General features: G+C 41.8%; 1 protein-coding gene and 1 long non-coding RNA gene across 6 annotated transcripts in view, besides 3 other annotated features; both read right to left on the bottom strand.

The window, feature by feature from the left end:
* MSRA (methionine sulfoxide reductase A) overlaps positions 1-17,257 on the bottom strand; it is a 374,600-nt gene extending 357,343 nt beyond the window's left edge. For all 5 annotated transcript variants that reach the window (NM_012331.5, NM_001135670.3, XM_011543822.3 and 2 more), the window contains exon 1: positions 16,891-17,257. In NM_012331.5, the coding sequence (NP_036463.1) occupies positions 16,891-17,032 (142 nt within the window). In that variant the 5' untranslated portion in view covers positions 17,033-17,257. The remainder of the gene's footprint in view (positions 1-16,890) is intronic.
* Positions 1,618-13,706, bottom strand: LOC124901885 (uncharacterized). Its single transcript, XR_007060815.1, has 2 exons — positions 8,049-13,706; positions 1,618-2,061 (listed from the first exon to the last, which is right to left on the bottom strand). It is a non-coding gene; the product is annotated as an uncharacterized LOC124901885 (long non-coding RNA).
* Positions 15,854-16,440: an enhancer, noted in NCBI's record as "NANOG-H3K27ac-H3K4me1 hESC enhancer chr8:9912619-9913205 (GRCh37/hg19 assembly coordinates)". NCBI's record gives its function as "activates a minimal SCP1, AML or CMV promoter by ChIP-STARR-seq in primed H9 embryonic stem cells {active_cell/tissue: H9 hESC(primed)}" and the evidence as "EXISTENCE:reporter gene assay evidence [ECO:0000049][PMID:30033119]".
* Positions 16,588-16,857: a silencer, noted in NCBI's record as "silent region_18910". NCBI's record gives its function as "represses an Ori minimal core promoter by ATAC-STARR-seq in GM12878 lymphoblastoid cells {active_cell/tissue: GM12878}" and the evidence as "EXISTENCE:reporter gene assay evidence [ECO:0000049][PMID:35858748]".
* Positions 17,068-17,177: a silencer, noted in NCBI's record as "silent region_18909". NCBI's record gives its function as "represses an Ori minimal core promoter by ATAC-STARR-seq in GM12878 lymphoblastoid cells {active_cell/tissue: GM12878}" and the evidence as "EXISTENCE:reporter gene assay evidence [ECO:0000049][PMID:35858748]".

Here is an 18,292-nt window from a genome sequence, read left to right as displayed (position 1 = left end):
TGATCCATGAAAGGAAAAATTAGGAAGCTGGAACTCATCAGAATTAAAAACTTTTACTCTGTACAAGTCTTAAGAAAAAAAAAAAAAAAAGAAAATTAAAAGGCAAGCTACAGCCTAGAAGAAAATATTTACAAACCACATATCTAACAGAAAACTAGTAATGAGAATATATAAAAGACTCCGCTGAAGAGTAAAGCAATAATTCAATTAGAAATGTTTAACGTCTACCAAAGACATTTAACGAAAGAGGATATACAAATGACAAACAAGCACATTAAAAGATCTTCAACATCCTTATCCACCAACGAAATAAAAAGTAAAACCATGATGAGATATCACTACATAGCTATCAGAATGGCTAAAATAAAACAGTGACACTACCACCAAATGCTAGAGAGGATGCAGAGAAATCAGATCCTTCATATGTTGCTGGTGGGAATATCAAACTGAAGAACTCTGGGAAACAGTTTGGCAGTTTCTTATGAAACTAAACATGCAATTATCACATGTAAGTGCCCAGCAATTGCACTCCTGGGCACTTACTCCAGATAAATGAAAACTTATGTTCACACAAAAACCTGGACATGAATGTTCATAGCAGCTTCACTCGTAACAGCCAAAGACTGGAAACAATCTAGATATCCTTCAATGTGTGAATGGTTAAACTGTGGTACATCCACACCAAGTAATAATACTCTGTAATGAAAAAGAACAAAGCACTGGTACATTAACCAACTGGGGTGAATCTCAGGGAATTGTGCTGACTGAAAAAAGCCAATCCCAAGAGGTTACATACTATATGACATCGTTTATGTAAAATCCTTGAAATGATGAAATAACAGCAATGGAGAACAGGAGTGGTCGCCAGAGGTTGCACATGGGCAGGGGGTGAGGAAGAAGGTCAATGTGGCTATAAAAATGCAGCACAAGGAATCTCTGGTGGCAGAACTGTTCTGTATATTGACTCTGTCATTGTCAATATCCTCGTTGTAATGACGTACTATAGTTTTGCAAGATGTACCACTGAGGAAACCAGGCAAAGAGTACAACAGATCCACAGAGTACAACAGTTTGTATTACTTCTAACTACTGCATGTAAATCTAACATTATCTCAAAATTTAAAACTTAATTGAAAAAATAGCAGGTCACACTTGGCCTGTGGGCTATTATTTGCCAACCCCTGGTTTACAGAAAGGTGCTAAAACTTTGTAACCCATTTCATCAAATGTGACTAGGTGACTCCAGATGCAAATTGACTAAGTTTCCAGAACTAACAATACCATAACCCGGCTGCCACGCTGTACTTAGAAACCAATCCAAATGCACTGGCAAAGATCAAAGACCCATAGGACATTTTTGCTCCCTTGATAGAAAGGTGGGCATCAGCTACCTAATCCTCTTATTTTCCCCAAAGTATTCATCATCACAGAATCTACATTCTTTCCATTTTCCAGTCTGATCCAAGACTCAAGTTGGCTTCAAAAGCATTACATAACCTGGCACCAATTTTATATCCTTGGCAAGATTTAACAGGGAGGTACCCGTAAGCACTTACCATATACATACCACGTGCTGTGATTAACAAACATATCAATATTTCAACGTTAAAGAGGGTGTGGTTTTGTCATGTTTCATTTTAATAAACTATGTGCATATATACCATGGAACTTCATGCAGCCATTAAAAAGAACATATTAACTCTCAGCAGACTAAGAGTAGAGAACTTCTTTAACCTGATAAAGAACATCACTTTGGTTTGAATGTGTCCCCTCCAAAATTCAGGTGTTGAAATTGAATTCCCAGTGTGATGGTACTAAGAGGAGGTACCCTTAAGAGGTGATTAGGTCATGAGGGCTCATCCCTCATGGATGAGAATAAAGCCCTTATAAAGGAGGCTTCACAGAGCATTCAGCTAGCTCACTTTTCTGTTCTTCTGCCATGTGAGGACACACTGTTTCTCCAATCCAGAGGAACCATCTTTGAAGCAGAGAACAGCCTTCAGCAGACAACTGAACTTGCTGACATGTTGACGGTGATCATGGACTTGCCAGCCTCCGGAGCTGTGAGAAAATACGTTTCTTTATAAATTACCCAGTTCTGTGGTATTCTGTTATCACAACACGAATGGACGAGGACAAACATCTATTTTTAAAAATCCAGAGCTAATATCATACCTAAAAGTAGAAACTAGATGCTTTCCCACTAAGTTCTGGAACAATGCAAAGATGTCCACTATTACTACTCCTATTCAGCATCATACTAGAAGTCCTAGCTAATGTGGTAAGACAAGAAAAAGAAATAAAAGGTGTACAGATTGGGAAGGAAGAAATAAAACTGTTCATTCACAGATGACATGACTGTCTATGTAGAAAATCCAGAAAACATCCTGGAACTAATAAGAAATTACAGCAAGGGTGCAGGTTACAAGATTAATATACGAAAGTCAATTATTGCCTTCCTATACCAGCAACGAACAACTGGAATTTGAAATCACAAACAAGACCATTTACATCAACATCAAAAAAACACGAAATATTTTGGTATTAATAAAATATGTGCAAGATCCCTAAGAACAAGACTAAAAATCTGATGAAAGAAATATATCTAAATAAATGGAGAGATAGTCCATGTGCACAAATAGGTAGATTCAATATTTTCAAGATGTCAGTTCTTCCCAACTTGATCTGGAGATTCAGTGCAACCCTATCATTGCAATCAAAATCCCAGCAAGTTATTTGTGAATATTAACAAACTGATTCTAAACTTTATATGGAAAGGGGGAAAAAAAGAATAGCTAACTCAATATTAAAGGAGAAGAACAAAGTCAGAGAACCGATGCTACTCAACTTCAACAATCAGCAAAAGAAAAGACATTTGTCTATTCTGACAAATGGATCATAATAAGGAGCCCAGAAATAGACCCACATAAATATGGTCAACTCATCTTTGACAAATGAGCAAAGGCAATACGATGGAGAAAAGACAGTCATTTCAACTAATGGGCTTGACCAACTGGACACCCACAGGCAAAAATAAATCTAGACACAGACCTTACAACCTTCACAAAAATCAACTTGGAATGGATCACATAGCTAAATGCAAAGCTATACAAATCCTAGAAGATAACACAGGAGAAAATCTAGGTGACCTTCGGTTTGGCAATAACTTTTTAGATACACGAAAGGCACAATCCATGAAAGAAATGGTCCACAAGCTGGATGTCATTTAAATTAAAAACTTCTCCTTTCCCAAAGATACTGTCAAGAAGATAAGAAGACAAGCCACAGGCTGGGAAAAAATTGGAAAAGACACATCTGATAAAGGATATCCAAAATATACAAAGAGCTCTTAAAACTCAACAATAGGCCACTCATGGTGGCTCACACCTGTAATCTCAGCACTTTGAGAGACCAAGGCGGGCAGTCTGCTTGAGGTCAAAAGTTCGACATCAGCCTGGCAAACACAGCGAAACCCCATGTCTACTAAAAATCCAAAAATCAGTCAGGCATGGTGGCACATGCCTGTAGTCCCAGCTACCCAGGAAGCTGACGCATGAGTATCACTCGGGCCTGGGAGGCAGAGGTTGTGGTGAGCCAAGATCGCACCACTGCACTCCAGCCTGGGCAATAGTGTAAGACTGTCTCCAAAAAAAAAAAAAAAAAAAAAAAAAAAACTCAGTAAGAAAACAACCCAACTGAAATATGGGCAAAAGATTTGAACAGACACATCACCAAAGAAAACATAATATGGCAAATAAGCTCAGGAAAGATCTTCATCAGCATATATCATTTGGGAATTGCAAATTAAAACAATGAGATCCCACTAAATGTCTGTGGAATAGCTAAAATCCAAAGCACTGATAACAACAACTGCCGGGAAGGATGTGGAGCAAGAGGAACCCTCATTTATTGCTGGTGGCAATGCAAAATGGTACAGAAGACAATTTGGCAGTTTGTTATGGAACTACATATACCATACAACCCAGAAATCACACTTTTGGGCATTTACCCAAATGAGTTGAAAACTTATGACCACACAAAAACTTGAATAAAAATTTTAATAGAGGCTTTATTCATAACTGCCAAAACAATTATAGATCCCCATGTAAGTGATGCACATATTTATTCAGTAGGTGAATGGATCAACTGTGGTACATCCATACAATGGAATATTATTGATAATAAAAAGAAATTTGGCTATCCAACCAGGAAAAGACATGAAGGCTCCTCAAATCATATTGTTAAGTGAAAGAAGCCAACCGAAAAGGCTATATACTATATAATTCCAAATATATGACATTCTGGAAAAAGCAAAGACTATGGAGACAATAAAAAAAGTTCAGTGGTTGCAAGGGGTTCTTGGGAAGGGGGAGATGGACAAATAGGTAAAGCACAGAGGACTTTTAAGGCAGTGAAGGCATTCTGTTCTGATACTGCAATGGTAGGTACATATCATCATGCATCTGTCAAAACCCACAGACTGGATGATAGCAAAAATGAACTCTAATGTAAACTACAGACTTTAGTTAATAATAATGTATCTATATTGGCTCATCAATTGTAACTAAAGCAAGACGTTAACAGGGGAAACTCAGGGAGGAGTGTGTATGGGAACTCTGTACTTTCCACTCAATTTTTCTGTAAACCTAAAACTGCTCGAAAAAAAAAAAAAAGTCATTTAAGATAAAAGAACATACTAAAGATATACCAGCTGAGCCAGGTGCAGCAGCTCACACCTGTAATCCCAGCACTTTGGGAGGGTGAGGTAGGCGGATCACCTGAGGTCAGGAGTTCGAGACCAGCCCGGCCAACATGGTAGAAACCAGTCTCTACTAAAAATACAAAAAAATAGCTAGGTCTGGTGACGGATGCCTGTAATCCCATCTACTCGGAAGGCTGAGGCAGAACAATCACTTGAAGCTGGGAGGCAGAGGTTGCAGTGAGCAGAGATCGCGCCATTGCACTCCAGCATGGGTAACAACAGTGAAACTCCGTCTCAAAAAAAGAAAAACAGATATATCAGCTGAACTGGAGATATTATGATGTACTATTAAGCAAGAAAAGCAAGATACAGAAAATACAATCTGGTCCATTTTTATAAAAAACCAACAATTGTGCGTGTGTGTGTATGATTTTATGAATACAGAGAAAGGTTTTGGAGAATGCTTTCTCGGGTCTGAACATTGGTTAGTTGGGAAATTGGAAAAAGGATAAAAATGATTCAAAATGTACAGATCAAACTTTGAGCAAAAATACAAAGTTGGCCGGGCAGAGGGGCTCACGCCTGTAATCCCAGCACTCTGGGAGGCCAAGGCAGGTGGATCTCCTGAGGTCAGGAGTTCAAGACCAGCCTGGCCAACATGGGGAAACCCTGCTGGGCGCCTGTAATCCCAGCTACTCAAGAGGCTGAGGTATGGAGAATCGCTTGAATCCGGGAGACGGAGGGTGCAGTGAGCCGAGATCATGCCACTGCACTCCAGCCTGGCCGACAGAGCAAGACTCTGTCTCAAAAAAGTTATTATATATTATTATATTAAGTTATATTAATAATTATTTTATATATTTTATATATATAATTGAAGTTTCAGCCATAAAGGCCCTGAAGCCAGGAGGAGCTATCTCAGCACAGGCACGGTAGGAGCAGGCACTGTCAGGCAGAAGAGTTGACTCTTAGCGCCACTGGGACAAGAAACCAGAGGCTGATAGCAGGGCGACTGTGTTCCTTCCTACTTTAAAACAACACATAAAGTAAACAATACAGTCCTCACTTTAAAAACTCTATCAATTTCCTTTACCAACCATCCGGCAACAGCGGAAGCAAATGTACACGCAAAATGAAGCCCAGACTTCAGCTCTTTCATAAATCTCCTTATTCTGAAAAAATAACTGCCAGGTTGTTAATGAACAAAAATAGTTCAGGCTTGAGTTCCATCGTTACGTTAAGAGAAATCCTTTGGTTCATATCTTACACTTGGAACTTCATATCCAAATTCACATAGCTTAAGTCAGGTGTGTGTCTCCCCAAAACTACTGCAGCAAACAGCTGCATAACCCTACTCATCCAAGGTCTAAACTGCACCAGAAAATAATTCTTGCCTTTTATTCCGCACATTGAAATAATTCGACAGAGCTTGTTAGTATGAGCATAAGCCTGAAGAAAAAAAACATTTTTTAAGTTATCTAGAGTGGGCTCCTGAAACCCCTCTTACATTCTGAGGATGGGCCACCAGGTGAAGTTTCTACTCCTGGTGTCAGGTGCTTTCCCAGCAACCTGCATGGGGCTAGCAGGGACAGACTGCCTGAGTGCCCTCTGTTATCAGGACCACCTGGACACCCTGGGGCTCTGAGAAGCACTCCTTCATGCTGATGCACACATCTCGGGGTGTGAGGAATGCTGAATGGTAAGCCAGACACCCCAGGGACCAGCAGAAGTCCCTGCAGAGGGCTCACTGGTAGATGAGGTGGCTCTTTGTAAACTGCCTCTCAGGAAGAGGTAAGGCAATGGAGTTTTCAGCAATGCAATGCCTTCTCGGGGGCTCTGTGACAGCCTACCATTCCATTCTGCAAACTCTTACGCGGTTTTCAACTGCTAACAACAGTGCATTCAAAATTTTTTACTTCAGGTCTCATTTTCCCCACGTGGAAAGCTATGAATTCCCTCAAAGTATTTCATTTTCATGACTCTTCCCTTCTGGGTACAATCTGTTAAAATATCAGATCTTTTCAGCAGGCCAAAGAATAATTTGTGGCCTCATCTGAACCATGCTTTTTAATTTTACACATGACTTTTGACCTATGCAAAGTATAAAATACCTAATGGTAAACTAATTTTTTTAAATCAAAGGTAAAATACGAAAACTTTTTAAAGGAAAATTCAACACTAGTATTACTTTCCTATGGTAACATCTTTGAAAGAATTCATTTTATAAACATGCTCTGGGAAGACATCCGATGTTCCTAAATTTTGTATTTTAATGTATTTATAATCATCTAAATATACTGTCACCACATTTCTTCCTGTTTCATTATTACTAGCCTTCGCTGTATCATGATGCCAATTTAATATACTTGTTCAACAAGTTAGTGGATTAGGAATATACCCTGCTGAGAAACACTACAGATGCACTTCCATGAAAGGATACAAAATTCCTACAGAAATACAAGAAACCATGCCTTTAAAAAAAAAAAAAATGGGCAAAAGCCTATGTCCCCTTTCATAAGAGCCCGAGCTTACAGAAGAGGTACCAGCTGACCCAGAGGACACGCAGGTCTCTGGTGAAGGAAAAATCAATCATTTGGCATCATGAGTCAAAGTCATCGAGTATCTCACTGAACGGAGAGGGCATTTTGATAGGATATCCAGGAGAAAGCAGCTGGAATCTGAGAACTCTGATCATGCCAGCAGCTTCTATAACCAGGCTAGGAGTTCCGAAAACACAGCGGGGGAAATGACTACCACCAAGCACCAAATACAGGAAAGGGATTCTACCTTCATCTCCCCAAGGAGAGACACTGGAATGAAAGCACAAAACAGAGCCCCAAAGCCCTAGTTCCAGCTCCAACTCTAAGAGCAATCTAAGCTGAAACAGCCCCAAGGGGCGGCAGAGAAGTGGAAGAAGCCAAGTTTAGCCTTGAAAGCCCCAAGATGTTTTAGACAGGGCTGCAAGGAAAAAACATCCTGTGTCTCAGTCCGCCAGACTGCTATAACAATTTACCATAACCTGGCAGCTTATCAATAATAGGAGCTTCTTTCTCACAATACTGGAGACTGGAAGTCCAAGATCAAAGCGCTAGCAGGTTCAGTGTCTGGTGAGAGCCCAAATTCTGGTTCACGGACAGCGCCTTCTCACCATGTCCTCACATGGCCGAAAAGACTAGCTAGTTATCTGGGGTCTCTTTTACAAGGGCACTAATCCCACTCATGCGTGTTCCACCCTCATGACTAATCACCTCCCAAAGCCCCCACCTCCTAATCCCCCATCACCTGGGGGGGTGAGGATTTCAACATGAATTCAGTAGGGGCACATAGGCATTCAGACCATAGCAACCTGCAAGGAAGGAGCTCAGAGCAGGAGCCAGCCTCGGGGTGGAAGTGGAGATCTGAAACACTGAGGCCAGCAGCAAATTACAGCAAGTGTCCAGCATTGAAGAGTGTCATTGGACAGGTCCAAGTCGCTGCTGTTCCCTAAACAGTGAGAGAATGAAATTCAAATTTTAGGTAGATGTTGATAATGCTCTGAACAGCTCAGGCAGGGGAGAGTGAAGACAGATCAGAGACCAATGAAGAAAAGAAGTCATCGGGACTCATGGGAGGAAGGACAACTCAAATGTAGAGGTAAGGCTCAAAGATGACCCTGACTGCGGCTTCTGGGATTTGAGAGGAGAGCAGTGCCACTGAGAGAGGTTGGGAAATTAAAATATGTAGTCAATCTTTTGGAAACAAAATGCTAAGTTTGGTTTTAGATCTGAGTTCAGGCTTACAGCATCTCGTATTTGGAAACAGAAGGGCAGAACTTTCACAAGGTGAAATGTAGCTTTCAGACGAGGGTGGTTGGAAGCGTGAGAGAAGAAAGCAAAGCCATGGCCAGACTCTTACCCTTCTGACTTCTTACCTCTTTTAGCTTAAAATGTGCTAAGGAATTCCAGTGGAAATGGTGGAATTGCTACCTGATGACAACTCAGTGCCTCACTAGCAATCTCACGCAGCTAACACGATCCACTCCTATCACACGATCCACTCCTATCACATACATTTTCATCTGGCTGCAGAAATTCCATCTAGTTAATAAAGTTTTCTGATGCGATAGGAAAAACCAGTAACATAACCACAAATGTAGGCCGGAGCCCCCAAACCCCGATGCTTCCTGTACCCTTCAGTGCACTATGCTCGTCCCCATTACTCCAACAGTTATGGACTTACCGATTATGTGCCATAATACATAACATGCGTGTGTCTGTTGGCATGATACTGCTCAGAGGAACCCTGGCCTCTCAAACAACTCAACAGGTTATATGCTACAGTCTTTCAACAAGTATTTATCATCAGCTTACTGTGTTCCGGGTACAAAGAGTAAGTCAATTCCTGCCCTCAGTTCATTGTGTAGTGCTACATATCGATGAATATTGTGATGCTCTCAAACTTGGAGTTTATGATGTGAGGAAGATAAGAGCAGCATGTAGAAGATCCACAACTTTCATTCATCATGCACTGACATCCTGAAAGCATCTCTTGTAGAATTCAGTCTTCCATACATCCCCAGAGGGTTGCCGATGTCAGCTGAAACAGGAGGGCAGGGCCAGCCAGCTGCTGCTGCTGCTGCATGGGAAGGAGCCTGGCCATCTGCCAAGGAGGAACGGATGATTGATGGCACGCTGCTGGGACCCATGCAGGAGCCAGACCAAGCTTAGCAAAGAGGCTTCCACTCTGGTCCTTGCTGAGGGCCTGGCGGCCACTCACCCTCATAAGACCCATGCCCCAGGCTGATGTCTCCTCCCCCAGCCAGGCTCCCACTCCTTGCCTCAGCTGTCCTCCTTTCCTCCCTTCCCCCACCCAACGCAGGGGCTCACAATAACTCCTGAGCCTGAAGATCGCAGGCCAAGGCCCCACGTGGACTGCACTGAGCTTAATGACCTCTTCCCCACCACTGCTGCAGATGCCTAGCAAGTCTCTGCTCAGAGATTTAAAGATGAGGGGTTCCCCACCCTTCATCCTGGCCAAAGTCACAAAAATAACTCAGGGAAAAGTTCAGAGAAATCAGCCAAAATCTATCACCACTACTGGAAAAACTCGGAACATGCCCCATGGACAATGGGGCAGCTCTGTTAACTTCTCTGTATCATGATGGTCACACGAAAAGATGACATTTCTGGTCTTTGTTCTCAGGCATTAACCATATTCTTCCCAACGTTCATAAAACACTATTGACTGCACTCTTGGTGAAGTGCTGTGAGTTCTTGGTGGGCAGCACTCTTGGTGAAGTGCTGTGAGCTCACTACGTGGGGAGATGAGACAGATTGTGCGAGTTCCGTGCAATAAGACATCTAATTAGCAACGCAAGATGCCATAGAAAGGATTCATAAAGTAGTACATAGCTATTTGTCCAGTAGAGAAGAAGGAGATCACTTAGGTTGGAGAGAAAAAGGATGGGTTTCCGGGAGAAGGGGAATTAGAGCAGGGCAAATTTCAAGGATGCTTCCTTGAAGATAAGGATATATGGACAATACAGGTCTTTCCTAAGCAGGCCTTTAATAGACATTTAATGAATGACTAAGTAAAAAGATCCAAGTGTGCAATCCACGCTATGGGTATGGTCGTGTGAGCAATACAGAGGCAGAAAAGTGAAACACATTAGGCAGAAGATGGGGTTCTACAGGGACACAGTGGAGAAAAAGACTGGGAAAGCAGGTAAGGATCACATTGTGGGAGGTACAGAATACCCTCATCCCAGGGACTTCAGGGAAACACTAAACGTTCTGGAACAGGTTGTAAAATCAAAGAGCTCTGGGCAGGATGCAAAGAGGGGAAATAACAATTCTGTATCCTACAATTTAGAAATTAATCACACATTGGGGAAAACTTTTCTAAAAGGAAAACTGTTTTCTATCATTTTCTTTTAAAAATCAACGTACATCACTCACAATACAAGAAATACACATAATGCCTTCTACATAATAGTGGAAGGAATTTGTCCTCAAAGATCTGTTCTTTGTATAAATGATGCCATCACAATTGATGCTTCAATAAAAATGAATATTTATGAAATGTAAAATGACTTGGATTAACTTATTCCGATTTCACTCTCTAAATTTTGATTTTTCAATCACGCCAAAATGTAGATTTTGATTACAAAAGCAAGTTGCAGAAAAAAGATGTACTTGACAAGAAAGAGCAAAATTGAAAAAAAAAAAAACTTCAAGTAAGTATGACAAAAGATGACAGAAAGGTGGTCAATTAGACTAAAAACAGCGAGACAGATCATCTTCAAAGTGGAGTTATGTAATTCACAAATGCAGTCACATTACAAGAAGCAAGTTACAAAAAAGCATCAAAAGTCTATGTCTTCCATCCATCCTCATTACACAGCCCCCTCCTCAGCCATTAATTTCTTAGCTATCCTTTCAAAGTTTCTCTATACATATTATTTTCCCTTCTGTTCACAGAAAAGTTAGCATACTGTATATATACACTGTTGAGACCTTGCTTTTTTCACTTAATGCTACATCTTGGCAATCCCTCCATACCCATTCACACAGATGTTCCACATTCTTTTTTACAGCTGCATATCCATTGTGACAATGAACTGTAATTTATGTAACTAGCCACTACTGATAGGCACCTGGGTTGTTTCCAGTCTTGTGCTATTGCAAACAAAGCTGTAGTGAATAACCTGGTGCAGTCATCATTTGGCATGCATAGCAGTTATGTCCAGACGATAAATTCCCATAAATTGAATTCCTGGGTCAAAAGGTATATGCATTTGAATTTTTGATAGATACAACCAAATTGCCTTCCATAGGAGTTGAGCCAATTTATACTCTTGCCAGCCATGTACAAGAGTGTATTTTTCCTTAAGAATTTACCAACACAGTGTATCGTCAAAGTTCTGGATTTCTGCCAGTCTGAAACATGAAAAATGGTATTTGCATTCTCATTATAAGTGAAGTTGAGCATCTTTTTATATGCTTAAAAGCCAATTGTACTTTTCTGTAAACGGTCTGTTCATAACCTAACGTCTACCTTGCCAATGGATGTTGGTGTTTTTATTTCTAGAAGCTTCTTATATAATTAAAAAGATTGGTCCTTCACCTATGATATGAATTGCAACTATTTACCATCGTTTGTCTTTTGGCTTTGCTTATGATGATTTTTGCCATGCAGAAGAATTTTACTGTGATATGATCTAATTTATCAGTCTTTTTACTGTGATATAATCTAATTTATCAGTCTTACGTTTTCCGATTTTCAAGTCATGGTTAAGTCATGGCTTTCCTCACACCCAGATTATAAAAACATTCTGTTCTCATACTGTTTCATTTTTAACAATAACCTAAATGGAAAAAGAGTATAGGAGTTAAGGCCAGAAACTCTATAGCCAAACTGACTACGTTCATATCCCAGCTCCACTACTTATTAGCAATGTATGTTGTTTAAACTGCCTAACATCTATGGGCCTCAGTTTCCACATCTATAAGTGGTGATAACAGTTACTACTTCTTTGGGTTACCGTAAGGATTAAATGCATTAGTAAATTACTACAGTGCCTGGCATACAAGACACTTAACAAGTGTGAGCTATTATCATCATATATCTGGAATTTATTCCATCAAACACTGAAATTTATCCTGGCTTACGGTGTAGAGATCCAACCTTTTTTTCCATATGGCTACCCAGTTGTCCCAATACCATTTATTGAATATTTCACCTTTTCCCCACTGACTTGAGATACCACCTTTATCAAATGCTGCATTCCCTTATGTATTTAAGAACTTCTGATCTTTTTTCCTCTTTTGTAGTTCTCGAATTGCTTTGTCTGATCACACTGGCTGTACCTACAATGTAAAATAATAATCTATCATTCAAAGTAGGCCAATTCATGTTATAATCCAATTTAGGTGGCCTGGGAGAAATTAAACATTAAGAAGTTTAAAGGTTTGAATCTTACCTTCTTACAAAGTATAAATCAACGACTAGATCACACTTAATAAAAAGGTGGAAGTTTCCTTAATACAAAAAAGGTAGAATTTATTTTTAAAGGTGGGATTAAAACTAAGATAACACCAAAATTTTGCTAACAGTGCACACTGTAAAAGGTACTAGGCTGTTCTCACTCCTCGTCTTGGTCTGAACATCAGTGGAAATCTCAACGTTTCTTCATTAAGCCTAAAATGGGCTTTTGGGTTCAAATAGATATGCTATGTCAAGGAAATAGCCATTTATTCCTGCTCTGGAATTATCTGCTCTTTAAATATTTGGTAGATAATCTTGGTGAAACTAGACAATGCTTTGAGAGGAGGTAACTCTTTCATAGCTTTATTTCTTCTATAAAAATCAACCTGCTTAAATTTTCTACCTCTTCTGGGGTCAATCTGGATTACTTATATTTTCCTAAAAATTATCATTTTCATCAAAGTTTTAAAGTTTATTTTAAAAGAGTTCAGTAGTCTCCTAACATTCTTCAAATTATCTGTTTTTATGATCTCCTCTTCTCAGGACTTATTTTGTATATTTGTACTTTCATCTTTTTCTTGAGACTACCTCATTGTTTACAAATGTCATTAGTGTAGTTCAATTTTTTTTCAAAGAGCCACCTTTTGGATTAATACATTGTTCTACTGTTTTTTTCTATTTAAAGTTCTTAAAAGAGAATACCTTCTGATGGTGCTCTACATCTGTTTTTAACATGTTAGTGCCCAAAAAAAGCACTGTAACAAAAAAATACAATGAACACTAAGAATGTAAACGCAAGAAAGCCAAGATAGAATCAAACTTGTCAAAGTTATTTTAAAGGACAGCTCCAAATCCCAAACACCTGATCCCACTGATACTCTATAAAAAGGTAAGATTCATTCCCAAACACAGATTAGCAATGTTTCCAATACGCAAAAACAAGTTCCACATGAAAGACGGCCTTTGTGTTAGTCTGTTTTCACACTGCTATAAAGAACTACCTGAGACAAGGTAACTTATAAAGAAGAGAGGTTTAATTAGCTCACAGTTTCACAGCCTGTACAGAAAGCATGGCCAGGGAGGCCTCAGGAAACTTACAATCATGGCAGAAGAGGAAGCTGGCACATCTCCACACAAAGGAGCAGGAGAGAACGAGAGAGCGCAAAGGGGCAAGCTACACACTTTTAAATAATCAGATCTCGTGAGAATTCATTCACTCTCACGAGAACAGCAAGGGGAAAGTCCACCCCCCGCATGTTTCAATCACCTCTCACCAGGCCCCTCCTCCAACAGGTGGGAATTACAATTCGAAATGAGATTTACGTGAGGACACAAAACCAAACCATATTGGACTTTTACAATAATTACAATAATTCACCGGAAATAAGATCAGTTCTGACTGTAAGGAACCCACATCTTAACAAAATGGAAGGCACTCTGAGGTTTTAATTATGAGCCTTCTACCTGCAGCCTATTTTGAACAATACAATACCAATACACTTCAACAAGTATGAATTCCCCTTGTCCCTCATTCCCAAGTTCTCAGAGTATTGCTTGGTGGTCAGGCACTGAAGCACAATGAGACCATCTCCACATACAGGGCAAGACACATTGCCGTGTGCCCTACCAGCCAGCCAGCACTGCCCAGATGCCCCCTAACCTGAACACAGCAGGCTGCAAATGAGGCAGTCCAGGGCAGGTTCAGTTTTCACCACTCACCCAAGTAGGCCTGTTCATGTTTTCATCCATTTTAGGTAGCCTGGGATAAATTAAACACTGAAAAACTTTGAAGGTTTGACTCTTTCCTTCTTGCAAGGTGGAAATCTTGGTCACAGTGTGTAAAAGGGTGGAATTGTCCTTAAGAATATAAAAATGGTAGGATGAACGCTAAGATGGTAATCCTTAACACCTCAAGTATTTGGTAATGGTACACACCTGATACTAGGCTTATCTAAACGCACTAAAGAAACAGGCCTTCTGCAGTCAAAAGGTGATGCTTTTGTCACGCAACTTTTGAGGGTCAGGGTACAAATAAGAACAGACATGGATGGAGGTAATATAGAGAAGGGAGGAGTTGTTAAACAGGATCCAAGTTGCAGTGGAGGTGAATTCCACATTCAGAACAATACTAAATCCTTAAGTTTCAAGTTTACAGCTACTGAAACCCACTGAAGAGGTAACACTGCCCATTTCTGGAGCCAGTCAGGGCTTTCAGCAACCTCTCAAGGCTCAGAAGTGGAGACTGGAACGTCCACAATCTAAATTTCACACACTTTTTGTGGAAAAAGTTACAATAGATGAACAATAAGGACATATGCATTGTAGGCTTGGCCCTACACCAAAAAAAAAAAAAAAAAGTTTACTGGCCCAGATACAGAGATGTGTTGGTGTACCAAAAACACTCACAGCTATATGGAGACAGCAGAGCCTGGAAAAGAACCAGGTCCTGAGGTTTTGCAGTTAAAAGTTATGATGGGGATAAGAAAAAAATTGTTGGCTCATTTCTGAAATGTTTGCTCATCTTTTACCAAAAATGTCATTTACATATTAGGAAACTGATTGGGAAGACTTTGGTTAAGATAAAGCCAAAGTAAATTTTGGTCCATCTTGACCTTGAACCAGTTTGGAAATCTGAACAAGAGTTTTTGGATTATTTGGGGTTTTTTTTTTTTTTTTTTTTTTTGGTGTATGGGAGGGCATAGCAAAGACACGGCAGTGTGTGAACGGGAAGTATAGCACAAGCTGAGGAAGTCTGGCATTTGAAAAGTATCGCCTTTAAACATGCACGTATAAATTCCTGCCTGTAAAAGAAAGAAAAAATTTTAAGATGCATTTATAAGTTTTAGATAATCTGGTTATATTTTATAAATCTATATATAAGTATAGATGTTTACTAATCTAGATTTGTTTCAAAACTCAATCTCTGCATTTGAATCAAAAATAAACTTTTACGGCTGAGTAGCAGGTGAAATGATGGGGAAACCAGGAAACAGAAACTGCTAATTCGATTAATAATAAGCCAGTCACACGATTTCTAAACTGCCTCTAATCCAAAAAACCTCTACCTTTTCTAATCTCATACTGATTATTCTACGAGATGACAAACTCTCAATATGACCTCCTCCTATCCTCAACAATTCTTGAAGGAAAAGAAAAAGAAACTTCTAAGGAAATTTTTTAAATGCTGAATTTCTCTGGCATTGAGCCATGTGTAGATTAAACATCACTTAATCCTCCAACAGCTCTAAGGCAGTGGTTTACAAGCTACAGCGTACATTACAATCACCTGGAGGACTTGTTTTAGAGATTGTTGGGCTCCACCCCCAGAGTCTCCGATTCAGTAATGGGGGAACGCCCACCCAGGTGGTGATGCTGCTGCTGCTGCGGCAGGTGGGGGCACTCTGAGAAGCGCTGCACTAAGGTAATATTAACGTGTGGCCCTCGTTCTGGGAAACGCGTGCTGTCTGCAGCAGAAATTGCCAAGATTTTGAAAACTTTTATAGCAGTTTACCATTACATGGCATCGAAGCACGTGAACATTTTTCTAGTATTTCACCCTTATTGTATTTTCCCAAAGTACTGATGTGAGAACGACTAGAAAGTTGTCCAAGTTTGTGGAGCATCGCTTTAAGCTGACCCAGCATACGGCAGCCCCTGCCCCTGGGGACAGCGGGGCCGACCTAGGGCACGAGGGGTGACTAGGGGTGACTCAGCCAGAACACTGGCCTGAGACGCAGTTCCACACTTAAGGTTTTCATCGTCTCGTCTCATTCCGGCATTTCCCGGGACAACACTCGCACCAGCCCCGCTGCAGGTGCCCTGGGTCCCGGCGGCCGGCGCAGAGGAGACAAGAAAGGAGGGCGCAGGCACAGCGCCGCGGGCGCCCGCGAGCAAGGCCAGACCCCAGCGGCACATTTCCTGCCCAAAACTTGGGGCCGCGACGGTATGCACTCCGGGTAAGTGAGACCGATGCACTAGATTCCTTCAGAATGCCCAGTTTGGCTCCAGAAGATGACGAGCCAAACAAAGACAAAGGGACGTCAGTGGACCCCAGCGTCTCCCCGGCCACTGCCGGCGCCCCTTCGCGCCTGCGCAGACCCCCACCCCGCGACCCGCCCGAGGCCAGCCCACGGCTTCCTTCCGGGCAGCGGGCGCGCTGCCGCCGGGCAAAGGCGCGCATGCGCAGCGTCGCCGCCCGCGCCTTCCGTGTGGCCAGTGCTTACCCGCTACAGGGGTCTGTTCCTTCCGGCCCGGCAAGGCCTCCTGGGGGCTGACGATGTTCGAGGCCGAGTTGCCCATCCTCGGGACGGGAAAGAGGCTGTGGAGGAGGAGGAGCTGGCAAGCCCTCCGGGTGGCCGAGAGCATGGGAGGGCGCCAGCCGAAGGGTGGTCCCGGGGGACGGCGCTACCGGCAGCGGAGCCGCAGCCGGAACGGCAGAGAGTGGGGTCCGCGGCCGGAACCGGGGGGCGGCAGGGGCGCGGGCGGGCGGGCGCGGGGCGCTGCTGGCGGGGCTGGAGGCCGCCCGTAATCGAGGTTGCCCAAACCCGGGGCCGTACCGGCTGTCACCGGGGGCGTGTTCCTTCCCTGGACAGGGGGTGTGGCCCGGCGAGTTCCTGAGGTTCTCTCGGGACGAAGTTCTCGGACAGAGAACAAGTGCGCTCCTGTCGTACGAAGTACGTGAAGCTGCAGAGGCCAAAAAACACGCCGAGCCCTTGGGGATGCGGTTTGATTTTAAAGTTGCTGCCGTGTCGCCCCGACTTCGCAGTTTAGCAGTGCCCAGTAAGATAGAAGAGGACCTGCCTTGCAGCCAGCTAGACTGTCAGTTTTTATTGGAGACATTGTCATGACGGCCATCAGAAGGGTTGCTATTCGTCCAAAGTGAAAACTAAGCACAGTTCTCAAAATGCGCGGAATAGGGAAGATGAATTCAATATTAAGTTATGTATTTACAAACATATTTAAGCCCATTTTGCAGCGGCCAAAATACGGGAGCAAGGCACCAACAGCACCATTAAGGCAGTGTAGGTGGACTTAATGGTGGTGTTGTATTATTCTTGTTTCTCAAATCATAGGAGATGACATTTGTTCCTGTGACATTCTCAAACTAAATGTAAAGTGGTTGGAGCGAGGTGAGTGACTTGGGAGTTCATCTGTGTGAGATTTTGGCTTAACACATGTTCTGCCAAAATGGGCAGGTCGTCTCAGATGAGGGAGGGAACTTCAGATTAGCACCCACAGAAAGGAGGCTTTCACCCAGCTTCTTGCATGGATTTAGTTACCACTTTGTTTTCATGTGGTCTGGACTGTAAGGAGGGCAGGAGGCTTAGCAGTGCTATAGTGTAGAATGAGGTGTGTTGCCAGGCATACAACACTAAAAAGGCTCTAGCTTTGATTTTGTAATTTGTATTTCCCCTGGACAAAATGATACCTAAACTGTTTGTTATTGCTATGAGGCTATACCAAGTCGGTTCCACAGGCCTTTCATGAAAACACCCCCAGGAGTCCCTTCTAGGCTTGCGAAGGCCTGGTCACTATTAAGGGTCTGAAAAAATAGTCATTCTGTCAAAGACAATATTTTGTGTTTTTCAGTTACTTCTTTTTGATACATACTGATTTGTCTGTGTT

Source organism: Homo sapiens, chromosome 8 (assembly GCF_000001405.40).
Source record: "Homo sapiens chromosome 8, GRCh38.p14 Primary Assembly".
Classification (NCBI taxonomy): Eukaryota; Metazoa; Chordata; class Mammalia; order Primates; family Hominidae; genus Homo; species Homo sapiens.
The sequence above is the reverse complement of the archived record's forward strand: the minus strand, read 5'-3'. Positions and strand labels throughout refer to the sequence as shown.